We start from the raw sequence: 27,413 nt of genomic DNA, 5'->3' as shown, positions 1-27,413 counted from the left end.
AAAATCACCTTAATAGAAACATTTGGCATAATGATCTGGGCACCTTGGTTCAGCCAAGGTGACCCATAAAATTAACCATCCCATCTAGGAAAGAAGTTAAATGTGACTGAAGCAGAGTGTGCTAGGAAAGAGCGAAGTGGTAGGGGATGAGAGTGGGTTAGTGCTGTGGGAACCACGGGAGCTTTTGAAGCAGCAGGAGTAACATGCTCTGACTTAAATTTTATAGATGACCCTGTGTTAGACCCTGGATTTCACAGAAGCAAGAGACAGAAAGCAGGGATACAAGCTGGAGGTCTGTGCTGGAGTTTGGGCAGGGGGAAATAAATTGTGGTTTGGACTTAGGTTCTGCAAGTGGAGAGAGGAAAGGAAATGGATTCTGGACATATTTGGGCAGAAGAGATGACTGTGCTCTGATGGGCTGAATGTGGGGCTCACAGAAAAGGAACCCAGAGCTTACCCTGGGCTTGGGTAGAATGGGGGAAGATAGCAAGAACACACTTAGGAACTTTCTGTCGAAATAAACGAGAGTGGGTCCAATTTCTTTAAAAACAAAAACCCCTGTGCTTTCTCATATCTACAATTTCTACCAGTAAAATGAGCTCTTTGTTAAATGGATGAAATTGCTGTGCCTTTGGAATTACCTACCCATGTTTTACTTTAATTAACTATAAATCTTTGAGACATGTGAGATAAACCTCTTTCAGGTATAGTTTTCTTTTGGCTATAATTTTAAATACAATGATTGAGCATTGTGTCCTTTTTTTCTGTTTTTGTGAATTTATCTGCTTATAAAATGCCTAATTGCTTCATTGGATAATATATTATAATTAAGCTTAAAATAGTAATGGTTGCAAGAACATATTGCAAGTATATTTCAACTTGGTATTTCCATGATTTTAACTGTTCTGGAATTTCAAATGTATTATAATAATAATGCCATTTTTAGTAATTGGTTGTAAAAACAAATTAAAATTAACTTAATAGACTTTAATGACAATAAAAAAACAAATGCCATCTCTATTTCAGCAAGAAAACTACTAAATATCGAATTTTAGCTTCATCTGTACTTACATTCAATTTTTAACTGTATCTTTTACAGTTTTTAACTGTATTTAACAATTTAACAATGTTTTAACTGTATTTAAGCTAAATATAGCTTAAACGAAACAGGAAGCCATGCCTTAAATCCAAGGTTAATGAAAACATTAGTTAAATAGAGGCAGAGCTGGGCCTGGGACTTGGATTTATTCTCTTACTCCTAGAGGCTTTATATTGTAACTTGTGTGTACCTGTGGCTGAGCTGAAAAATGTTCACCCCCTCAACATCAGTTACTGTGTTTTACCTCGCCACCTAACCATTCAGTTCTTTGAGGTTAGGGAGGATGTCTTGTTGATTACAGCATCCCAGTGTCTGGCATGGTGTCTGGCCCAGGTACTTATTAAAGTGCTCAATTAATAGTCCTGAAATAACTGATTGATTGAATCAGTTCACTTGTGAGTATCCAGCTATTTATTTTGAAATAATATAGGTCCAGGTTTTCACACTGTTGGTTATGACGCATTAGTAGGCCACTAAACCCATCTGGTAAGACTGATGAGAATTTAAAAACAGTTAAACGGAATAGAATATGAAAGAACAGATACTTTTTGATGTAGAAAATTTCTTTTTTTGAATAACCTTTGTTTTAATTATGAGTATATATGGATGTGTGCATTAGGCTGTGATGTGAAATGTATTTCTTATTGTGGTTTACAATTTAAAAAGTTGAAAACCACTATATTTGAAAGTTAAAAATGTTTTTCTTAAAACGGATCTAAATTTATGAAAAATTTTGCCTACTAACAAAAGAGAGACAAAGATTATGTGGAAAATTGACTATTCAACACACAGAACATAGAAATGTACGAACCCCACTTCATTTAACAGGTCTATATTGTTGCACCTATACACGCCCTGGGCTGAATTACTGTGAGGAATATCAACATGCATAATAAAAGGTCCCTCTGCTCAGAGAGCACAACAGCACCCAGGGAGAAGGACCCTAAAACCACACATGAGCCTCTCTACCGTCTCTCAACCAGAAAAAGTTTATGGAAATCTTTTCCTCATCTCTTATGCAACTTAACAGTCACATATTTCTAAACTTCATAACTCAGGCTTTTAGTACTACAGTTAAAATCAATTATAAGTTAATTGGCATTTGCGGGCTAGTCAGGAGTCAAACTGCCATTTATTATTTGGTTTTCATGGATAACTGACTTCCCAATGAATTTTTTGTATAAAACCTATCTCTAAGTTGAATACTCCTTGTTGCATTTTTTTTTTTTTTTTGGTGGCAGGGCTTGCTATATTACAGCAGGAGTCAGTGGACTGTTTTTCTAAAGGGCCAGATAGTAAAGATTTTTACTATCTTTACTACCACATACACTAGATGTGTATGTGGGCCATACACATCTCTGTTGCAACTATTTGACTATGCTATGGTAGAGTGAAAACAGCTATAGGCAATACATACACAATTTGTTCCAAAAATTTTATTTATGGACACTGAAATTTGAATTTTATATAAAATAATATGTAATACAGTATATATCATAAAATACTGTTTTTCTGTTGATTCTTTTTAACTATTTAAAAATGGACAAACCATTTTCAGCCTGCAGGCCACACAAAAGCAGGCAGTGGCTGGATTTGGCCTGAGAGCCATAGATTGCTGTCCCCTGTATTGGAGCAACAACATTTTTTCCCTCAAGGCATGTACAGTAATGTTTACGTGCAACTGAATTGACAAAATAAGCATTAGATTGCAAGCAAACTTCTTAAACTCTGAAATTATTTCATTTTTTAGAACAGACCCTAAGTTTTCAAAAAAAAAAAGTCAGATGTATTTTAAGTTCCAAAACTTCATTGAATGTGTACATAAATGCATGATCTAAATAATATAATAGACTATGTTGTAGAACTTTAAAACACCTTAAGACCCCTTTATACTTTTGCTGTAGGAGGGCATAGATTTTGAAAAAAAACCAAAGGGCCTTCTTCCTACTTTATGATGGTGAGTGTAAACACACAGTCATTATCAGGAAACACAGGTTTTAGGTCATCTGTCTCTTGGTTGCTATGTGGAAATTTGCTGTCCATCGTCAAATTGGATAATCCAGGTTTGATTCTGTGAAGGGAGCTGCCTGGTTTCCTTACATGTGAGTCAAGAACTGTGCAAAGCCTTTACCATCCATCTCATTCAATCTTCCTAATAATGTTAGGAGTTAGGACATGGAGAGAAAAAGAGATTTCTCAGGCTCACTCTGCTGGTGAGTACCAGGTGAAGGCTTTGGCTCTTAGACTTGATTCCGTCCTGCATCTGGATACCTGTGGCAAAGCTCTTTACTTTAGACATGGAGACTTTGAATACCCACAATGAGAAAAAAAAAGAGAAATAGACATGGAGACATTAAAATCATCATTTTGGAATAAATAATGAGTCTGCTGCACACCAGACCTAGAATTTTCAATTTACCTAACTTTATCAGAGTTATATTTTTTATTAGGTTACATCTTCAAAGCATTGATTTGCTCCAGTCAGCAATTATTTTACATGGTAGAACTGAATTGGCTTCCAGCTATTTGGTTTTACATTTTTTATTACCTAAATATTGATGGTACCCCTAAACCTATTACCTTCACAGCATTCTTAAAGGTGTGGATAGTAAAACTAGAAAATTAAATGTCTTAAACTATTTCAGGGACCAGTGTAGAAACTATATTGAAACCTAGGTTGAATAGTATTCATACCTACAGCGGTTTATTATGGTCCAATAAATGTAGTATCTATGTGATATTGTACTTAAAGGATTAAAAAGTAATTAAGTGTTTTCAATAAACAAAGTGTCAGAAAGCATCACTAACTAGTTGATTGTGCTTACTAAAGGACTTTTCTTCTAATTATAGTTGAAAATATACTAATGTTAATTATACACATCATTCAAAAGAATATTCAGTGAGAATTATAGCAGAAAAAAGTTGCCAATTTATCCCAAAGTGGGTAAGATACCTCCTCAGCAGCAGGACTATAATTTCAATCATAGAAACTAGATAAAAAAACAGTAAAATCGAATCACTCATATATGCAACTTAATCCATTTCCATTGGATCTCAGGAATGAACTGATATGAATTGTGAAGCTTTTTACATCGAAGGTTCAAACATTTTGAAGCTAGACATTTTGAAAGTAGCGAGATGAATGTTATAGTATGAAATCATTCAAAATTGGCAGTTTCTATGAGGTTCCAAAACTTTATCAGGACATGCTCACATTTTTTCATTAATTTCAGGTCAAAATTTATCTGCAATCAGTAAATAAAGGCTTACAGAAATGTAGTTCCATTGCCAAATGCCTTAGCTTCGAATGTGATTTTCTTCCAATGTGATTTCTTTTAGATACAACATAATTTCTTTCTGATCCTGAGCATATGGGCCTATGCTAATATGAAATGGTGTCTTAGAAAGATTATTTTTGTTTTCTGCAGAGAGCAGTCATCCTTTGACCTATATTCAATATGCGACACAGATCTGATTGTGCAACCACCATTAGCCTCATCCAAATCCCCTAGTTGGAGGTTGGGGCTTAGGTCAGGGACCATTACTCTTGGGTGTCAGAGCTAAACTTAATTAATGCCTTTTAAAAATATATGGATGATATTTTATTCCCCTTAGGATGTAGAAAAATGGCCTGCAGAATTTAATTCTGAAAAACGTTAAAAACAAGAGTGATTGAGTTGTTTGACATGCCTTGTGACCTCTTTCTGAAGTCAGAAGCTTTGCCCAGTGTGTCTGGTTTTTTCCCAGACTGCTGCCTGTTTTTTTTTTTTTTTTTTAAGGCACAGATTCCTTTCCGTGCACCTTTCTGGTCATCAAGGCCCCCTCTGGTAAATCATTGCCGTTTCAACACAGGCCCTCCCCAGTTGTGACGTTCCAGAGCTCATGAATGCCACAGGGGTAGGGAGTTACAAAGTAGAAGCCTCGGACTCACAATTATGAGGAACAATGGCTGTTTCTATGGTGCCAATGGGCAGAGGAGGGAATTCTTCTTGGGAGCTGGTGCTGAAATGTTTAGCAATCATTTTTCAGTGAGAATTGGCAGGTGCCTGCCAGGAGGGGGGATGTTATGTCAGCACAGGTGTCAGAGAACGCGAGAGGTTTCTGAAGGAGGTAATTGACAAATCAGATAGGGCTGGGGAGGGTGAGGGGAAGAGGGCAATGTGCTATTCGGCTGATAGCTTTAAAAGCAATTTTTAACCAACATTATTTAAGAGCCTTTTAGAAAGCAGAACCCCGTTTCCCAGAGGCATCTGCCAACTGACAGTCCAACAGGAAAAGAGGAAACTACTTCCGAAAAGGCTTTAAAAAAAGGACTTTTAGAGGCTGTTAAAAAGACATACAGTCACATTCTGCATAAACCTGTTTAAGCAGCAGTTTATCGCACAGATTGGTCTGTTTCTTTCACTTAACAGTCTGCTGTTTTCCTTTACCCACCACCCTAACCAACCCCTCACCCACGCTCTAGAGCCTTTCACCCAACAGCTAAGGAGCACCCCTGTTTTCTTGCTGAGCTCCACACAGGACAGAGACACCAACAGCCAATTCCTGTGAGTGTGATTTGGAGATACAATTTTGATTTTAAGCATTTCATCCTTGCAGTAAAATGCATCCGTTCTGCATTTGAATATCTGCAACTTGTGCTGCTTGGGAGATTTTCTGATGGGTGGATTGCAGCCTTAATTCTGCGCTTTCATTGTTTGAGTTCTAACATTCTTTCCCATCCTATTATCTACAGATAACATCCCTATTATCTAGCCAGCGGTGTAGCTTGCATCTATGTTTTCAGATTTGAAGAGTACGCATTCAAAATAACTTCTACCACATATTTTTTGAGAATTTTTCTAGAGACATAAAGCTCTCAGTGAAGGAAAAGTAATTATGCTTATCATCTTATCTTCTGTAATTAGTGCATAGTAGGCAAACAATCAGTACTTGTTGAAGATAGAAATGAGTAAATGAATGAGTATGAATAAATGACTACGGGAAAAATAGGAGTGGGGAATAGCAAAGGAAGGTGTCCAGGGGCACCTACGTGGGCTAGAAAAGCAGCTTCAACTAGCTGGTAGCCTTGATTTCTAGAATTATAAGTCAATTCTCCTATTTTATTTGGGGCATTTTTGGTGGTGGAGCTGTGTGTGTGTGTGTGTGTGTGTGCACGTTCATGTGAACACCATGAGTTTTTGATGCCACAGTTGTGATCTATCACTTTTCTCCAGTCGTTACCCCGTGGACAAGGGCAGGCCGGCAAACAGGTTAGAGTAATACCCTCAGGCCAAGATGACAAACTTCTTCACAGATTTTACATCTCCCATTCTTACTTAATTTTGGCTGCAGTTGGTTCACACCTTCCTAAGCCCAAATGAGAATGAAATCGGGTTGCAGATTTTCTAGGGAATGGTGCTGAAGAGGCTCTGAGGAATTCTGAATTTCAGCCGCATTTGGCACATTACGGTTTCAGCCAAATCACGTTTCAGTGAGTAGAATTATGGGAATATTAGCCCCGGTGGCACATTATATTTGTACACAAAAAAATGTCATGGCTCATTCCAATTAATGAAAAATTTTTTAAAAAGCTTGCAGGTTGCTTAAAAATACCCAGGACCTCCAAGTTGATTGAAAATTTGGAAGAAATAATAGTAACAACAGCAATAGCAGCAGCAGAAACATCTGACATTTTGGGGGTATTTTCACATGCTAGGCCCCTTGTGGAAGTTCTATTAGCAATTAACTGAGTTATTCCTCACAACACCTTGATTAAGTCAAAACTATCATTATTCTCATTTTATTGGTGGAAACTGCACGAGAGAAATGTCCAACAGGGCATCTTTTGGACAAGGTAGTTCTTATACTTAGACAGTCAACTTGGGATTCATTCGTCATACAAAAGTAGGACAGATGAAGAGCTCAGTGATGAGATACCCCCTTTTCTCCAAATTTCACACACATACAGCTAGTCTCCTAATTAAATATGGAGCTTTTATGGTTATGGTTCCTTAATTCTGTCCCCAGATTGCTAGGCCAAACAAACAAACAACAGCAAAACCCCACAAAGCACAAAACCCAACCACAAACAAAACATATTTGTCCTAGTTACATTTGCAGAGAGGTGAACTCACACCGTGGCAAGGTCAGTTCTCAGGGAATACAAACAAGATCAAGAACAAAATTTAAGATTCTAGATTTTATTCCACTTTGGGAACATCCTGTTGTGTGGCATACATCACAACCACCTAAATGCATTTGTGAAAAAAAACAACCCCAGAACCTCATTTTTTTGCCTAAAATTACCCAGATAATAGATGTAGAACTCTGTTGGCTTTTCATTTTATATTTTATAATTATTTCTCACACTGTTTTGACTTGGATTTAGATAAACATCTGCATTTCAGCTTATTCGCCTTTCCAATAAAACCTAAAAGAAAAATAAAGTCCCTAAAGAAGGATTTGGGATATTTATAGTAAGAAAGAAAAAAGAAAACTGTTTTGTGATTCTATTTTTGAAGAACATTTTTTTTTTTCAAGTTTCTTAAAGCTCTAGTGGTTAGGAAAGAGCTAAAGGCAAAAACTTTCTTAAGAAGCACTTCAGAACATACTCATAAAGTTGAAGCCCAAGCCAAATCCCCCCACCCCACAGAGCATGGAAAGTGCTCACATAGCCTGATGTCCTTTGAATCTCTTAAGGTTATTTTCTAAATGAGACTATGAGAACAAAATGAAATTATATTTTCCTTTCAGCTAGTTAAGCCTCAAATCCCTAGATGAAAAAAATGTTTTCCTTTTGGACAGTGATGTATTTCTAGTCAGTCTATTCCCAAAACAAACACACCAAAAACCCACTTCACACACAGGCTAAAATAAAAGATAGGAACAGAGGTCCTTCAAATAATTAGTATTGCTCTAAATTGTCATTTTGCAGGTAACCCTCATTGAACAGAATTCGTGGATTTGGGTCTTGTTATCTATTACCTCTAAAGCTATAGTTTATTAAATAGAATTCCATTGAATCCTTTGCTTATACAATACAGTTGGCCCTCTGTATCTGTGCGTTCAGCTTCCACAGATTCCACCAATCATGGATCAAAAATATTCAGGAAAAAAAACCCAAAAAATAACAATACAAAATAATACAAGTACAAAAATACAGTAAAACAACTATTTACATTGCATTGATAGTGTATTAGGTATTATAAGTAATTTAGAGTTGATTTAAAGTATATGGGAGGATGTAGGTAGGTTATGTGCAAATACTTCACCATTTATATAAGGGACTTGAGCATCCTTGGATTTTGGTATCTGCTGGGGGAAGGAGGGGTGTCCTGAAACCAATTCTCTACAGATACTGATGACTGTACTTATATTTTCACTTAGTATCAGAATCACAAAGTATCAGCAATACTTATTTATTTATTTATTGAGATGAAGTCTCGTTCTGTTAACCAGTCTGGAGTGCAGTGGCGTGATCTCGGCTCACTGCAACCTCCGCCTTCCAGGTTCAAGGGATTCTCCTGCCTCAGCCTCCTGAGTAGCTGGGATTACAGGCACGCACGACCATGCCCGGCAAATTTTTGTATTTTTAGTAGAGATGGGTTTCACCATGTTAACTCGAACTCCTGGCCTCAAGCAATCCACCCACCTCGGCCTCCCAAAGTGCTGGGATTATAGGCGTGAGTCGCCGCACCCCCAGCGATACTGACTTTAAGTGACTAAATCATAGTTTATGGTGTTTGTTGACTACCCAGCATCTTTCTCACCCTTTTCTTTCTTCCAAACAGAATCTCAGTTTTGTTCAAGTATTTGCCTTCTGCAAACACACACACACACACACACACACACACACACAATTTAAGAAAAGCTGGTCCCAAGAATGGGTCTTTATTCTAAAAAGCTAAATAGCACCTAGAATTTCCAGCACTTAATATTGTATTGAGTGGTCATATGACCTAAGTTGGCACAATGAGCTGAAGGACATTACCCTTAATCCTTAATTGTGAGAAAGATTTTTTTTTCTCTTTTCTACTAGACAAAAATATGGAAGGGTGTAGCTCCAATTGCCACCAGCAACCATCTTCGACTCTGAGGCAAATCACCAGGTGAATGACTTTGATGCTGAGGATAGCAGGAGGGAGATAGAAAGATCCTGAAATTTTGGTTATATCACTGATCTAACAGATCGATTGCAGCCTGCTTTCCTGTAGACTGTCTCTTATGTAAAATAATAATTTTACTTCTGTTTAATCCAGTTCGAGATGGGATTTTCTCTTACTCATAGTCCAAAGTGTCCCAATATACCAGCTGAAAACACTTAGAGAATCAGAGTGAGAAGCAATCAGATCTTTAGGATGCTGAGCATGAATGACTGTAGCTTGCTTTTCTGACCGCCTTTCCCGTTAATAGGGTTACTTATTGCCTTCCCCTTTACTCCCACTAGCTTAATCACTCCTGAAAATTTTTTAACTCTCTACTTCTCATTCTAAAGCTGGGGATGTGCAGTGTGGGAGAGGATGCCCTAAACCAGTTTAGATCACTTGTATTAATAAGAGAGGTTACTGATTGGAAGGCTTTAAGCAAGAGAATTGTGCAGAGGCTCAAACACAATGCTGGGAATCACTGATCTCATTTTTTTGAGCCTGTAGTTTCTACTCCTTTTCCTTGGAAGTTGCAATTTCCCACAGTGGTGAGATGCAGTAGAAGATTTGCCAAAAGCTACCATGGTACCTACTCTAGTCTAGGAAATTCACTTATGTTAAAAAAACAAACAAACATAAAAACCTAATTTCTATTCTATTGATTAGTAAGTTTAAAATTCTCCATATACCTTTGGCTTCAGAATGATGGATATCACATTAAATAGGGAATTATAAGGGAAATCATCCAGACCTCTCCCACTTCATCTCACAACCTTACAAAACAGTTGGCATGCTCAGATAGAGCTGGGTTGAACTGCATGTTTCACTGCCAAGCAATATTCATGAAGATCCTATTCCATGCATTGACGGCCACTTGAGGAATGAAATTGGACTACATAATCAGTTGAATTTAATTCAGTCTTTTTGGTACAGCCATGTTCAAGGTTACAACAAGGTACATAGAATCTGGTATTAGACTACCTGTAGAAACTCAAGAAACATTTCCAAGGTTGGAATTTGAAGCAAAGGTAATTTTGCTCATGAAACACATACATAAGGGTTTTCCATAGTTTTTTTTGTAGATTCAGTTTGATGTGCTACTATGGGTTGATAACAAACTAAAAGATAAGCAAAGTTTATCATACTAGCCTACACCAATAAGAAATAATATACAGCCACAGTTTCCACCATGAACAAATAAAAACTGTAAACAATTCAATGCCTTGGAGTAGAGTAACCAAAAAAATGTCAACTTCCCTATAAGACACTCAATTATCCTGTTAGGAGATCCATCAGTTATAGAATCTGTAACCCTATTTCAGACATTTGGCCAAAGGTACCTGTTGGTAGAAGAGCTGAGGCAGGACTGGCTTGTTTGTCGTAATATAAAAGATCCTTGGAGGATGTCCGGGGTCCAGGGTCTAAAACCCCTCGTGGCCTTTGGAACACCAAGCTCTGTGCCAAAGGGTGGAAGGCTGCACTGCCACGCCACAAATCTAAGCCCAGGGCATAAAACCCCTTGCGGCTTGGATGGAATCCAGGGCTCAGGGCATAAAGCCCCTCGTAGCCTCTGGAATGTGCACAGACTTGTTGGTTGCTCTCCCAGGCTCATAAACATGCTCTCCATTATATCAAGCAGCAGAGCATATTCTATATGTGTCAAAGAAAATGCTAAACTGTCACAGCTACACTTGATGCACTGCTACCTTTCTACTCCAGCAATAAATAGTGTGGGCTCCCAGAGCTCCGGGCCTTCACAGCCTCCAATCTAGCGTTAGCCCCCTGGATACACTTTATGCACTCTTAACTTGTCTTTTCTCATTCCTTTGACCCCACTGGACTTTGTAGCCCCGACGGCCTGGTGTTGGGCTTGATCACCCCAACAGGCACCAAGGTCATCTCGGGAATATTTCCCTTCTGTTGGGTGTAACCCTTTGAACAGTCTAGAAGGCTGGCCCCAATCTTCTTGCTTCTTAAGTGTATTGCCTCGATGTATCCAAAGAAATCAAATTATTAGAAAAGAAAACTAACCTCCAACACAAAAAATGTAGAGAGGTATATAAATGTTGTCCAGAGTTTCATAATGAGTTCTCTCCTTTTGTTCTCTCAACAAACATCTAATGTGTTCTTGCCATTTGTCAAAAACAAGGCTAGGCCTTTTTGGTAAAAGGAAGACTCAGTGGCTTTGTTTTCCAGATGTTTACAGTGTGATAGGTGAGACCTAGACAGTCATGCAGAGACTTTTGAAAAGATGTTTTTACAGTTACGCTTAGACTAAGTAAAGGCTCTGACACACTCACACCATTAGGAATCTAAGCTAAGAGTCAGATAGGTAGGTGGGGGTCAGAGAATGCTTCTTGGAGAAGCAGATTCTTGGTCTTTGTCCTGAAGATCCAATAAGATTTGGCCAGGTGAAGATGAGTGGGAGCACTGGTCAGCTGGATATTAGCAAGGAGTGTGAGTGTCAACACATTCAACTCCAGAGTTAGTAATGGAAGATCCCAATAGATTTCATGACTAAAAGACCTGAATTCTGAAAGAATAACTTTCTAAAATAGCAGCTTTTAATGGTCATGTTTAATTTTGACCACATACTGCACCTCATCTGACATCAAGGCATGGCATTATCTGTGGCACTTGACACAATGCCTTGCCCAAAAGTGTTCATTAAATGGCTGAGTCGAATTGAAATCCTATCACCTCAATCCTAAATTTTAACTAGTCTTCTTGTGTAGAGTGATTTCTTGCTGAACTGTATTTTGACTGACCAGTATATGTATGGCTTTGTGCTTTGTGGCAAAATCACTGGGGAAATTGTAGGGATTAGTGAAGGGACCACCAAGAAAATATTCTGAGGCATATCGTCAAAAATATAAAACCATGTTAAGCTTTTGGTAGTGAAGGGAGGTATGGTGCTTCTTTCTAAGCTGAGTAGGAGGTTCAAAGCCAAACCTGAAAATGAATAGAAACCTTACAAATCATGAAACTCAAAGCTAATTTCTGTATTAATGTAAGATGTAAGTATGGGCGAATAGAAAACATAATCAATTCTGAATATCCTATTCATTATATACAAAGCTAGTATTATTGGTCTTGGATAGAGTATGAGGAAATAATCTATTTTCCGTAAATTGCTAGTCGATGTATGTTTGTCTTGTTACCTGCTTTCTCTGCAGAACTGAGCACAGGGGCCCTCGGTAAACATTACAGAATGAATAAAGTAATTAATGATGAATCTGAACCTTTCAAACACCCTTGCGAGGTTTCCCTTGGGACCAACAGTAAGTGATTATAAGACTGACTCAAATTAAAGCGAACAGATAGGCCTAAAGCTAAAAGGCCTCTATGAGGCTGAAACCTGTTGCTTTGGGCTATAATTAATTGATCTCACTTGTTATAGAATATACTGGTACACTCACTGAAGGATGAAAAAGAAAATGGATTTCCTTTCTAACTGTATTTTTAAGCCTTGAGAAATGTGTACATGTTACATATAAGATATATGTATATATAAAATACCCATACCTTTGACTTTTTTTGTATTTGAGATTCATACATTTGAATCTATCTATCCTGTCTATTTTCTATGTATCCATCTATCTACCTATCTATCTGTCTATTTTCCATCTATTCTATCATCTATCTATCTATCTGTCATCTATCTATTCTATGATCTCAGTACATGTATATAGAGCACAAAAGGCACAAGAATGCAACAGTTCAAACAATGTGGGTTCTCAAGGGTGCCACGATTGAATTTTAGCTCCAAAAAGAACCAACTATGTGACCTTGGGCAAATTGCTTAATTGTTCTGTTCCCTAGTTTTATCTTTAAAACTGAGAAGATTGACAGTATTTACTTGAAAGTCTTGTTGTGAACATTAAACTCATGTAAGATATTTAGAATGATGCCTGAAATATTGTAAGTGCTAAGCGTTAGGTTTTATTATTCTACTTCATTTTCCCAGTCATCTTTCTTATTTTTAATCCTTAAGTAACAAAATTCAAAATACTTTAAAAAGAACATATAGGATTATTTGGATGAGAGGCAAAAAAAAGTCATTCACTTAGCAAATAAGCAATTGTTTTATTTATGATAGAAAATACATGGTCACACATATGGCTACTAAAACTGTAAGAGAAAAAAAATCTTGGCAAGGACATTGTTTAGTTTAGGTATGAATTCTAAAAAATAAAATATGTTAAAAGTGTAAACTCAGGGGTACATTCTGTTTCCAAACACAAACTAAGAATTAAAATATCAAAATGACAGACTTCTGCTAATCTGCTTAGGAAGGCATAAATTATTAATCAGGCTTCAGGCAACAATGTTGAATACCAACCTTAATAAAACGCCTGCCTGGAGGAAGGTGAGGGCTGGTGGCTCCGTTATTGAAAGCTGGGCTGCCCTATCAAGTTGCTTAGTCTTCCTGGCTCTCAGGACACCACTGATAGGGCTTCCTTCAAAATAGGCTCATTTGAAAGTGGTCAGAATTATAAAAAATTAAGTTGTTAGCATGAGATAGAAAAGTGTATTTTCACTGGCAAGCATGAGCTTGAACAGGAAATCAGTTGTAAAAATATTTAAGAGATGCTTTCGTAGCTTACATGAGAAGAATTTCACCTAGTAAGCATTTATTGAGCCTTCCCTATGTGCTTACAGTTACAAGGGATGCCCTCATCTTAAAACTCTCATCTTGAGTTGGCAAAGTGATATTTTAAAGCCATTTTCTCCTTTCTCCCCCAACCTGGATTTATCTATTCCATAAAGCATCTTATGTTTGTATCAGGTGGGCTTTTGCTGTGCAGGGAATCAAATAATGGATTTTCCCAAAAGTCTTGGCTGAATATCATTCTTAGGAACACTTGTCAATCAGGTAAAACCTAAATTGGAAAGTACTTGACAAACTCAGCATCTCCTTGGTAGTCAGAATCTTGTAGCTGCTTTTTTTTGATTGTGGAGTTTAACATGCAGTCCAAATTTCACTTCTCGCTTTAAAGTCTTTTACAAGATTATAGACATTAGTGCATATTTTAAAATCCAAAACGGGACAGGTTTGGCTCTCATCTTCTGTGATTGGTTTCTCTAACCAGCCGTGATAAAAAGATTATCATACAAAGAAAAAAGAGAAAAAAGCCATTTAAAAATCCATTTTGGTTTAGTGAGAAATTGGGAAGCAAACATATGCTCAATTAATGTTCAGAACCTCAAAGGTGCAAAGCCAACTTTTTATTCTATAGTGCCCAATTAATCCAGCCTACGGTTTCAATAATTTCTCCTTTCTCTGCCCACCACATAGAAATCTTTTATTATATCAAATTAAACTCAGTTGCTTGAGAGCACTTTACTCTTATGTTGCTTCCAACTTCATATTTTAAATAAAGTACCCGTCCTCCCTAGCGTTACGTTTGGGGAGAAAGTGGTTATTCAGATAACCACTAAGCACCTTGCTCTGTCCACTCATGTACTGAGGTCATCTCTTCAATTTAATTTCATTGCTTTTTGGAACACAAAGTACATGCCCATTTAAACTCAAGAAGAAAAAGTTTTCTAAGAAAAACAAACCACAGTGCTCTTTGGAAAGATATTTTGGAGTGTGGTAACAGAATCAAAAGTGAACTTGAGGAAGAAAAAAAGTATCAGACAAAATATCTAAATACAGCACTTGCATTTGACATTCCTGCATTCTTATCTTAAATGCAATTTTCTTCCAGGTAATAGCATTTGCTATGAATGCAAAAGTTATGGCTGAGCAGGCACTTTTTGTATCTGGAGGTTTGGGACCACCTCCTCTTGGGTACATTAACTCGTAAGTGACTCCACTTCATTCTGTTGTCTTAATTAGGACCTGCCTGACAATCATTAAAAAATCAGGAAACAACAGGTGCTGGAGAGGATGTGGAGAAATAGGAACACTTTTACACTGTTGGTGGGACTGTAAACTAGTTCAACCATTGTGGAAGTCAGTGTGGCGATTCCTCAGGGATCTAGAACTGGAAATACCATTTGACCCAGCCATCCCATTACTGGGTATATACCCAAAGGACTATAAATCATGCTGCTATAAAGACACATGCACACGTATGTTTATTGTGGCATTATTCACGATAGCAAAGACTTGGAACCAACCCAAATGTCCATCAATGATAGACTGGATTAAGAAAATGTGGCACATATACACCATGGAATACTATGCAGCCATAAAAAATGATGAGTTCATGTCCTTTGTAGGGACATGGATGAAATTGGAAATCATCATTCTCAGTAAACTGTCGCAAGAACAAAAAACCAAACACCGCATATTCTCACTCATAGGTGGGAATTGAACAATGAGATCACATGGACACAGGAAGGGGAATATCACACTCTGGGGACTGTTGTGGGGTGGGGGGAGGGGGGAGGGATAGCATTGGGAGATATACCTAATGCTAGATGACGAGTTAGTGGGTGCAGCGCACCAGCATGGCACATGTATACATATGTAACTAACCTGCACAATGTGCACATGTACCCTAAAACTTAAAGTATAATAATAAAAAATAAATAAAAAAAAAAAAGGACCTGCCTGAAACATCTCTCTCTCTCTCTCGCTTTATAAAAAAGCAGGTAAATCAGAGAGGGAAAATGTGGAACTGATATTTATCACAAGGCCACACTAATAGAATTAATCTTTTATGAAACACTGACAATATCTCTACTAGATACTTTTAAACAAGTAGCTTAATACAAGAATAATTGTTGGGAGAAAAGTCGCTGAACTTGGTTCAAATGAGGAGTCAGCAGTAATGTAACAGTCAAGGTAGATTTTATCATTTTGCATTGGTAATTAGACTGACCACAAGCCATTTTGATTGGTATTAAATTAGAAACTGTTGCTAAGGGGAGCTTAGAATATTTTGTTGAGTACAAAACTGAGCAGTTGCAAATATATATATATTTTGCATATATATATGTGTGTGTATATATACATATAGTTTTATATATGTCACATATATACACATATATATGTGACATATACATATATGCGTGTATATGTTACATATATACACGCATATATGTATATATGTAACATATATACGCATGTATGTATATATGTGTATATATACATACAGTTGCATATATATATATGTGTGTGTATATATATATATTTTTTTGAGGTGAAGTTTTGCTCTTATCACCCAGGCTGGAGTAGAATGGCGTGATCTGGGCTCACTGCAACCTCCGCCTCCTGGGTTCCAGCGATTCTCCCTCTCAGCCTCCTGAGTAGCTGGGATTATAGGTGCCTGCCACCATATCTGGCTAAGTTTTTTGTATTTTTAGTAGAGATGGGGTTTCACTATGTTGGTCAGGCTGGTCTCAAACTCCTAACCTCAGTTGATCCGCCTGCCTTGGCCTCCCAAAGTGCTGGGATTAGAGGCATGAGCCACCATGCCCGGCCTGCAAATATTTTAAAGTGGATGCTAGTAGATTAATGAGACTCTCTTTCTTTTTTAATTCTGCAAAAGGAGATTTAAGCTTTGCAGTTAAAAATACGATAAGCTCATTTTAATGACTGAAATCTATACTATACACTAGAAGGCAATTGCTTTTTGAAGTAAAAATGTATATCTCAAAACACAGACCAACATGTTAGTAAATTTTTGTCTACAATTATACAAAGTTCACTTTTAGAAAAAAAAAGACACTGATTTTATAATTTATATGGTTAAGGTGGGCTGTGTTTGTTCCGGCTTATAGAGTTAGATATAAATTTAAAACTTTTCATTTCCCACTGAATTATCCGCTTTGTAATCAAGTGGGCAAATTCACTATTAATGACACATTCTGGCCATGAGCTTGGCAAAGCATATTTTTTTTGAGGATATGTTAATATGGTCAAAGATCATATTAGTATTCCAAATGTTAGTATTAATCTCTGTAAGTTTTAATTAAGAGACCCAAGGATACCTTTTCATTAAATGGCTTTTGTTTAGTTTGTCTTTTTGGTGTTTTAAATATAATTATAATTCCCCTTTACTTTTTGTTCATCCAGATAAGAAGGAAGAGAACCAGGTCAATCATTTCTCAACATGATGTCAGTCATTGTATTAAACCAGTGGTCCCCAGACTTTTGGATTTCATGGAACATTAACAGTTTTATTTTTTAAAGGGGAGAGGATTGACATTGAGTTACTTGCCAAATTTAAATTTTGCCAAGGAAAGAGCCATCATAATCTTTCCCCATATTTCCATGAAAGAATTGACATTTTAACTTCAAAGCAGTGGGAAGGTTACTGTCTGATTTCTTTAAATCAAATAAATTGAGATTTATGAGACACACAATAGGTTGTCATCATTTCTCATATCTAACCACTGACCAATGATTTTTTTTATTTCAAAGATGGATACAACTTTGGGTCTCCTGGGGAATCACTGATTTAGATAAGGTTTACTCAAAACTGCCATCAATCCATTACAAATAAAACAAAACCCCAAACCTTATCATATGTCTCCCTAGCAATGGTCAATATTTTGAGGGAAAATATTAATTCTTCTTTGCAATAGGAAATTTGCAAAATGTAGGAACACACAAAATTCTTAAAGAAGCCTACATCCTTATCTTCACCGCAAGTATCCACATTTGTCCCTTCACAGAATAATTATAAATAATAATATTCTTTATTTAAATTTCCTCTTTAATTTTTAATGCCAGAATTAAATGGTGATGATAAAAAGCAATAACATTCAACAACTAGAAATCAAGCCACAGCAGAGAAAGATAGAGATAAGAGAACAAAATAAATCAAATATATCCATGGATAAGTTATTCATCTCTCTGGTCATCAGTTATCTCACAGTTAAATGAAGAGTATTAGATAAAGTCATCTTTAAGCTCCTTCCTGTGTCTCACATTCTCTGATTATATTTCTAATGATCAAACTTTCCTTGAAGGCTAGATTAACTACATGACTTTTTGAATGGCGGCAATAGAAAGAAGAGAATATAATGAAAATGGCTCATCAATGTCAACCATATAAAACGTGACTGTATTAAGAGGGTTTCTTCCTCCCTCCCTTCCTCCCTCTCTCCCTCACTCCTCTCTCTCCCTCCTTCCTTCTCCCAACTTCCCTCCCTTTCTCCTTTCCTCCCTCCCTCTTTCTTTCCTTGCTTTTGTGGCGATTGTTTTCTGGTGGCATGGTAGTGGTGTGTATATGTGTGTGTGTGTGTGTGTGTGTGTGTGTGTATGTATGTGTGAAATTTTACTTGGTAAATCATTCAGAACAAATACCAAATTGTGATAGTAATGAAGTAACAAAATAAATGTGGTCATAAAAAATTATTTTTACTTACTAGATGAAGAAGGACACAAACACTATCTTACTTAGCTCTACCCAGAGTCCCAAATGCTACATCCATGGTAATGTCAACGAGCTGAGAATGGACTGATGCCCTTAGTGGGTGCTGTGAGGTTGAGGTGTCCCTCCCCTCTCAATGCAATGAACAGGTGTCATTTTAGCTACCTTCCTGAAATACCCCTTTCCTCATAAAGATCCCTCTGAAGGCAGGATAAGATAATTTATTCTCATATAAAAAGTACCATCATTATGTTCATAAAAATGGCCCACACAATGCTTTCTACTACAATTATAAATTCTGACACATGCTTGCAGATGATTTTTCAAAAATGAATAACTTAAAAACATCTTCCTGAGCCTTCACATCTGCCAAGCTCTGGTCAAAATAATCAAATCATTCCCATGCCCTCTGCTGCTCTGTAGTTCTCAGAGAGAGTCACACTTTTACTTCTAAGACATCACAACTGTTTGTTAACAGCACCTTCATTAAGTGCTTGGCTCAAACAGAGATTCCCTGGAAATTCAAACCAAAAAAGGGCTAAGTAAAGAGGATACAAGTATAGTAGGGTCATTTTGATTTACTGTGTAATTATTGCTATGCGAAATGCATGTAAAATACTTAGAAGAGGGTGTGACATAGAAAAGCTCAGTAAAGGTTAGTTTATTATTTATTATCATTATTATTTGGATGTATAAAAGTTCTGAGCCAAGATACTGGTGAGTGCTTTTTATCTTTGAGATATATATATATATATATATATATATATATACACACACACACACACATACACACACACACATACACACACACACAAACGTATATATTATCAACTCTTTTCCTTCTATCCATGATATATATATGTGTGTGTATAGATATATATGCTCTGAGCATATATATACACATATGTGTGTATACATATATATACACATATGTGTGTGTACATATATATACACATATGTGTGTGTACATATATACACATATGTGTGTGTATATATACACATATGTGTGTGTATATATACACATATGTGTGTACATATATACACCATGTAAAGTACATATATACATATATACACCATATATATCATATATATACATCATATATATACACCATATGTATATACACACACATATATTATCAACTCTTTTCCTTCTGTCCACTATATATATGTGTGTGTATAGATATATATGCTCTGAGCATATATATATACACATATGTGTGTGTGTGTATGTGTGTGTATATATATATATTTACCATGTAAAGAGGTGAGGGGTTGCTGTCTTGTAGCTCTGCCTTTCATCATGCTATATCACACACAGGATCCAAATGGGTGACAAGTAGAATACTTGGTCTATATTATTACTGTATACTTTGGATTGCAGGCATCAGAGGAATACATGGTTTTTCTATTTAGCATGCAGGACAATAAAGATAATAGAAGGAAAAGAGTTGATATTCTTCAATGCACTAAGGAAATCTTTTCGTTGATTCTGATGCAATTTCAGACCACTTTGAAAAAGATATTCCTCCAGTTAATTTACCATCCACCCAGGGTTACCTCCCTTAGATGGTGATTTTTTAAAGGTAATTTTCAAGTTTGCATTTTATGGTAGAGATGAGTAGTGTGTATAAATATGTTAATGATGTAATTATGTTTATAAGGTGGCATTTAACAGTAGCACTATTTATAAAGAGGAAAATGCACCCTATGTAAAAATGGCAATTTTGATTCTATTTCTATTCTTATGTTTCCCTCTGCTGTAAAAATTTACGTCCTCATCTCTTTCCATTTCACTCACTTGGACACTTCCCCAAGTTAATTTTTTCTTGCTGTTTTCTCTTCCTATAACTTATTAGGTCTCTTGGATATCTTTTGGCCAGACCTACCAATTTAGGAAATTAGAGAAAGAGAAAACACAGTGTTCTTTCAAGTGCTGAAATATGAAGATAAATCATACCCTGTGGTATGCTAGCTTTATGTGCCTCATCTTCTTCATAAGTCGTTTCTCCCACAAGATAGTACCACATACACTAAGAAAAGCTTGCAAACCATGCTGCCCATTTACATGACAAATCAAATTTAATATTAACACTCTGGCATTAATGAAATTCTACCTCTTATAAATCATAACAAGGTGATCTGATTCCTGGAAGAAACCAGCACCCAATGGTGTTAGTGTAAAGATATTAAACAGATGAAATAATCTTTAATAGTCTCTGCATATGAGTCTACTCCACATTTATGAATGTGTGCTCAGAGCATTCAGCCTTCAATAACTTTTCTTTGTTGGAAGAGTTGAAAGTTTCTTGGAGAGTTCAATTTTGAACAACTAGACTGTTGGCTGCAGATGGCTCCCTCTGACCCAACTATTTAGTAGTAATTTTGAATGCACCACTTCTTTGAAGGGTTGTTTATACTCTCCCCTCTTCCCTTATCTTCCTACTTTGTGGGTGATAGCATCACAAACACTATACACATTTGGTTCAATAGCTAATTAGAGAGAACCTGAAGTTCCTCATAAGATTGTTTTGAAAAAGAGAGGCTTCTGTACGAATAGAAACTTAAAAAAGTAGACCAGTTAATCTTTGGAAAAGGCAAGCTGGAACAAAAATATTACTATTTAGTTTCAGTAAAGTGCTTCAAGCACTCATCTGTCTTCAAAATAAAATAAAAATCCCAAGGGAGAAAACAACATGAAAAAAACGAAGAAGAAAAGAAAATCAGCCCATATGCTGCATTTCTGTATTTCTTCTCTAATATTCTTGGAACATTGTCACAACTGGGTGCTGTGTTTGCGTGTGTGTGTATGCCTTCTTCTTTCTGCAGTTCTCCTATTACCATAATGTTCTTGAGTCTTTGAATTTAGAATCATTATTCAGAAAAATATTTAAACCAGAGAAAGTTTGATTGTCTACATTTTCACTTTTTTTGTGAAGTAAATAAAGTGTGCTCAGTAGACACTGACTAGGTTGAAACACTGTTAAGAATGCAATTCAGACTGAGTCACTGCTTGTTATTTTTATAAGTGAGACCCTAATTCTGACGGACACCAAAGAATAAGCAGCCATGACTAAGCAAGAAGCACAAGGCAACTGGATTCTGCTGGATGTTATCTTATTTGGAACACATTTCAAACTTTAGAACAGATTTTTAAATTGGAAGTTGAAACCTGCAGGCTGTCAGCAGAAGAGGCTGATTCACCCTACAGAAATTATGCTGCTCCAAGTTCCAGGCAGAGTATTTTAAGGAGTAGGTTACCTAAAATGTGTTGTGATACATCAAGGAAAGAAATGAAACAGAAAAAACCTGGAGTAAGGATGACACAGGTATCTAAACAGCTTTTGGATGTTCAACATATATTTATTTGAACGGGGAATTCTTTGAATTAGATGGCCTTAGTTCAGCATAACTTGTGAATGTTCACAGATTTCTGAAACAGTCATTGCACTTTTTTTTCCTGCAAATATTTCTTTTCTTGTTGTTGGTTGGGGGGCGGGGGGCGGCGGCGCTCTTCATGTAGAACTTTTGGAGTTCTAAATATAATGTTATTATTGTTATTGAGTAAATTAGAAGTAAGGAAGTAGAGTCTTGGAAAAGATCAGAAATAAGAAAATCTTATATTGATGATGGTAAATTCTTTATTAATTGGCCATTGCTTTCATTTGGAATCATCCAGCAGTTACCAAAAGTCTAGATATTCAGAAAACCATAAAAATATTTGTAAGTCCCCTAAATTAGAGGAAGTACAGAAATAATAGCAATAATGATTTGACCTGTCACAAATATTAAGATAGTGCTTAGAGAATACTAACTTGTCTACAGAGAAAAAGTTGTTATACTCTTATCTTAGGTAACAAAATCCATTCTGCAGCTGAACTCCAGGGAGAAATGCATGGAGTGACCCACTAGAGGTCCCTTCCAACTAAAAAAAGTTTGAATAGTTCAAAGGATTCAGCCTTAGTGTGTTGGCATTCGTGACTGCAAAGCAACTACCGGGCCAGAAGGGGGGACCACACATTTCAATTCCTTAGGAAGATTGTAGTTTCACTCAGAATATTGGTCACATTTCATTCCTTTTAAAGAAATCTCTGTGGGACATTCACTCAATTAGTCCTAATTTTCAGATTTGGTGCTATAATAATACAGTATCATATAATACCCTGTGACTGTAGCTGTGCTTTCTAGAAAATTTTTAGCTGTTTTCAAGTGTCTCGAGCAGTATTTTGCAAGGTACATTTTTTCTTAAAAAGGAAGAGTGCCTCACTAAGTTTTTCCTTGCAAAGCTGATGGAAGTGGTGGGTGGAAGAGGTAGGGTACACGTTTTTTGATAGTAGGCAACTTGGTAGAAAATGATTATGTTTCCATATATTATCTTTGCAGAGTTAGCAGTACAAAATGTAAGTGCAATAAATTGGTGTAAAAGCCAGATAGTAAAGGGACTAAAAGTCCCTATGGAGATACCAAACTGTCACTTTCTTGTAATGGTAGCAAAAGATAATTGTAGACACAAATACAGTAGAACTGAATTGGCACCATTTTCCTTCAAAATTGGGCTGCTGCCTCTTAGTTTTTCTGAAGAAATTGGTTACTTCCTCTGCTTCAAAAGTATGGCATGAACCATTACATTAGGTGGGAAAAGATCTGTCTTTTATTTTCCTTCAGTACCTTTTTAATTAGAACACATCAAAGAGCAAAAGGGGATGAGATACAACCCTATGTGATTGCATTTTCCAGTCAATTGTTGGGTTTCTTTTAAGTTTCTGAGCTCTGCATTGACAATCTGGCCTCTGGCATAAACTTTACCCTCCTGGTTATGACATAATGAAGACATCTGCTCAAGCATACCCCTTTCTTCACACAACTGGTTTTACGGTTCTCTAAAATGCAAGCATAGAGCCGTGCAAGTACTATTACACACGGGATGATGCTCAAGTCTCAGGTGAAACTGGAAGAGATTTTTTTTCTCTCTCTCAAAGTAAAATCCTAAGGGTTTTCCTTTTCAGGTAAAGCTTTCAGCAAGAAAAGAAAGGAAATAAGCAACCCTTGGCACTATTCATATAAGCATATTTGTTAGTCCTTCTTGGAAGAGTTGTACATTAACTAGGCATATCCCTGGGTTCCTTTTTCCAACACAGGGAGGAGTTTGCAACCCCCTGGATAATTAACCACTCAGAAAGCCCACATTTTGATCTGCACCCCTCCAGAGCAGCCATATATGTACACAACAGCCACTCCTGCAACATTCTTGCAGGGAAAACCTCTTCCTTCTTTCCCACTGTGTGCTTTACGAAGTGAAAGTGAAGATTCGCAGAGACACGGTCTGATACACCTCTATAGTATGACTATCATCATTTAAATTTTTTTTTTTTTTAATGGGAGTAGGAGACAGAAATGTGTGGCTATTCCAGATGATTAAACTTCTTGGTTCTTGAATGTTCTGAGTCATAGTTAACTCAGGTGGCCAGCCCTTTGCACTGACAGAGACCTGCATTTAACTCCCCATAAAATATGGATTTTATTGCAGCAGTGACACTTCTTAGCACCACGCTGACCTCTCCAGCATCTCCCATCTCGAGATCTACGGTAACTCATGACAGAATATCTAACTACGGAAGAAGTAATCTCAGCTCTGCAACTGCTGCAGTCCACAACATTGCAGCGTCCCTTTTTATTAAATTCTGGGATTAACGCATTGGGGGCTCCAATTTTCCAGCATCTGGCACCGAAAACCAAGCGCACTCCAACCACTCTCCAATCAGTCCGGGGAAGGCTTTATCCCCCAGATTTGAGCCTGGCCAGCCGTGGAGGAGCACGAGCGAACTGCGCCTTCCATATGACTTTTCCCTGGACAGTGTGCTCCATTTTCGGAGTCCAGTGTTGGACTTTCCTTGCAACCTAAGCATTTCTGTCCTAGATGAGCCGGCAGGCGTTGCCCGGAACGTGCAAGCTAACAGTTTTCTTTAGCTCCTTCTACCAGCCAAATCGTCTCTTTAGTTTAAGTTTTCCTTACTGGGAGCATTCCAGAGTTTTCAGACTACCTGATTTTCTGCTTTACCCCAAAAGCTAAGAAATGTAACTCAGCCCAAGCAGTCACCACGCAGACCCTTATGATGCGGGCAGGTGGAGATAAATCAAGCCCCAAACGGCTCGGCGGGACCTGCACGCACCAGCGCCCTTTGGTAATTGACCAGCCAACTTTGCAAATGCCAGAGCTCCCCTGGCAGCCTCTGCCGGCGTAGAGAAAGGCAGCGGGTTCTTCTGCGGCGGCCCGCTTCCCGGTGCCCCCACCCAGCCCCACGGCGGATCGGTCTTACCAGGAGGCGGAGGAGCGGTGCCCAGGCTCCCCGGGAAGCGGCGTCGGTCCTGAGCAGCGGCAGCAGCGCCGCCCGCGCAGCCGGACCCGCGCGCCCGCCCCGACCCGGGCTCGCAGGCTGAGAGCATCCCTCCCAACTCCGGCGCGGCACCCACCGGGCGGAGAGGGCTCTCTCTCTGATTGGCTTCTATCAACGCTACAGAATTAAAAAAAAAAAAAGGGAGATGTATGCATAGCCAACGGAGCCCGAACCCACCTCTGCTCGCCTTCCTGCGCCCGCGGAGACCCTGCGACCCGCCCAGGCTGCTCCTGCCTCCGCCGCCGCCGCCGCCGCGGTCGCCGGCTCTGCCGTTCTTGCTGTCGCGGCTGAAACTGCAGCTCTTGGGATGCGAAGGTTACGGGCTCGGGAGAGCTGGCTCTTGTGGGCACACACTGATTTGCAAGTGAATGAAGTGGGAGGGAGCAAAGAGAGGAGGACTTTGTTAAAGAGGCCCAGTGCCTGCCCCCGCCCGCCCCCTCCCCTTGACAGAATGACTCCCAGTGTTTGAAGTCCTGAGCAATTCGCTCCCTGGAACACTCCTTCAGCCCCAGGCTTTCCCTTGCTTTCTTTCTTTCTTTCTTTCTTTCTTTTTTTTGTTGGAGGGGGTTTAAGATATACTCAGAACTTGTATGACTCCGTCTGTTTCCTCTTTTGTACTATCAAAATGCACCTTGTGCTATTATCAGCAATGGTCTGATGTTCTTTTTTTTTCACCGACCAAGCAATTACAATTCCCAGGGACACAGTACCTCGTCACTCTATCAGTTGGCCAGCTTCGTGTGATAGCACGTATAACATGCACACACATAAAACAAGCCGGTCTCCTGAGATGACAATACCGATGGCTTTTCTTTACAACATAAACAGGCGTTCTCCAGATGCAAGCAGACATGGATAGATTCATACATGTCTTTCCTTCTCTCCTCCCAGGAAGACACGCTTTCACGTAGCCCCATGATCTCTGTTACTCTTTTGGAGTGACCCCAGGATGTCGTAGCATGAAGCCATGCTTCCCTGGGCTTGCAGAAACACTGAAAACCCAAACCCTTCAGGCTTGCCAATGACTTATGACTGATGCCATCGTTCTAAATGAATTGATACAAGCATACAAAAGACTTGCAGAAGAGGGGTGTACAATGATATTCAAGGTCTGCTTAACGTTCGAAGATCCTTCTGGAAAGTTGCCGAAGTTGGATAACCTTCAAATTAAACTCTTTAGTACACATAGCTGTTTGAATGGCTAGATTGATAGTTACAAAGAGGTAATATCTAATGTTAAGGTACTAAGCCACAAAAATGTGAAACATGTCAAAGTACCATTAAATGAGAGTAATGATTTTCTACATAGGAGACATAGGCATGATGGAGTCAGCCACTGTTGGATTAGGAAAATTAAATCTAATTACCACAGTGATTGCACCCAGGGTCACTAGCCTCCCAAACCAGCTGTTCGCCTGTGCTGCAAGTTCTCAGGGAGATTTCCATTGCACAGAGCTCTAAGAAATGCCAGGCTGCTTGGCCTCTGAGTAGTTAAACTGGCTGGAGGTTGGTCCTGTTCCCAACTGAGCTCTTACTAGAAAACCTTTTGTTTCTCCAATAGAAGTTCAGGCATTTAAATAAAGCCCAAATCAAAAGTATTCCTTTAGGCAGCCAGTGCTTCAAAGAAGTGTGCATGGAATGGTTTTAGCACAGATGTTCTGCACATGGAAGATGGAAAGATTTGAGTTTCTTTCTGGAAAAGACCTTCCCCAAATGAAGAATTGCTACCAATTTGTGAGAAGAGGCTGAACATTTTCTTTTTATAGAGCTCTTTAAACACGTATGAAGTAAGAATGGGGGAGAAGAAAGCTGCTTTAGATTCATAGTCCATTCGTCAGATTATGAATTTCTTATACATTTAATTGGAAATATTAGCTCTGTGTGTCTGTGTAGTCCTTTACTGTTTACAAAGTACTTTTGTAGACTATTTTATTTAATTCATCCTTCAATAAGTGGTGTCATATTTTCCCAATTAAGACAGAGAAAACAGACTGATGAAGAGACAACAGAAGTTACATAACATGTCCAAGGCAGTGAAACTGGAACACACAAGAAGCAGAAATATTATTGGTAAAAGGGTGTGCAGGTGTGTATGCAGACATAGAGACCCACAGATTATATGTACAGGTATAATTTATTAGCATATGTGGTAGTAGGATAATACATGAATACATAATACGTAAATATGTCAATAAAATAAGTCATATTTTAAGACCACCTTTAGCAGAAAAAATGTGCAAATTGGCTGATTTTTATGGTAGAAGAGGGTTGATAGTGAAGTTGATTTTCTGTCTGTTGAACCAGTTAATATCTCACAAAGGAAACCTCTAATTGTTTGCAATATACTATTCTTCAAACCCCATTAAGCTACATGTCAAAGGTGTTTAGAACAACAACTGTATGAGTGGACAATCCGTTTGCTTCTGAACAGTTCAGGTGGCAGCATGAAATTATATAAAAG

The 27,413-nt window shown here is 37.9% G+C and overlaps 1 protein-coding gene and 1 long non-coding RNA gene across 6 annotated transcripts in view; one reads left to right on the top strand and one right to left on the bottom strand.

The window, feature by feature from the left end:
- CDH6 (cadherin 6) overlaps positions 1–25,330 on the bottom strand; it is a 135,461-nt gene extending 110,131 nt beyond the window's left edge. For 3 of the 4 annotated variants that reach the window (NM_004932.4, XM_047416591.1, NM_001362435.2), the window contains exon 1: positions 25,130–25,330. The gene's annotated coding sequence lies outside the window, so the exon portion shown is untranslated. Of the gene's footprint in view, positions 1–24,874 lie in introns of all 4 variants that reach the window. The other variant, XM_011513921.4, reaches the window with a different exon arrangement.
- Positions 1,916–17,341, top strand: LOC105374709 (uncharacterized). 2 transcript variants are annotated; one of them, XR_007058714.1, is made up of 5 exons: positions 1,916–5,209; positions 9,120–9,189; positions 12,402–12,506; positions 14,940–15,034; positions 17,258–17,341. It is a non-coding gene; the product is annotated as an uncharacterized LOC105374709 (long non-coding RNA). The 2 variants fall into 2 exon arrangements; XR_001742626.2 differs by lacking the exon at positions 17,258–17,341 and having other exon boundaries at positions 14,940–15,153.
- Positions 25,331–27,413: the final 2,083 nt, after the last annotated feature.

The sequence above is a fragment of the Homo sapiens genome, chromosome 5 (genome assembly GCF_000001405.40).
Source record: "Homo sapiens chromosome 5, GRCh38.p14 Primary Assembly".
Classification (NCBI taxonomy): domain Eukaryota; kingdom Metazoa; phylum Chordata; class Mammalia; order Primates; family Hominidae; genus Homo; species Homo sapiens.
The sequence above is the reverse complement of the archived record's forward strand: the minus strand, read 5'-3'. Positions and strand labels throughout refer to the sequence as shown.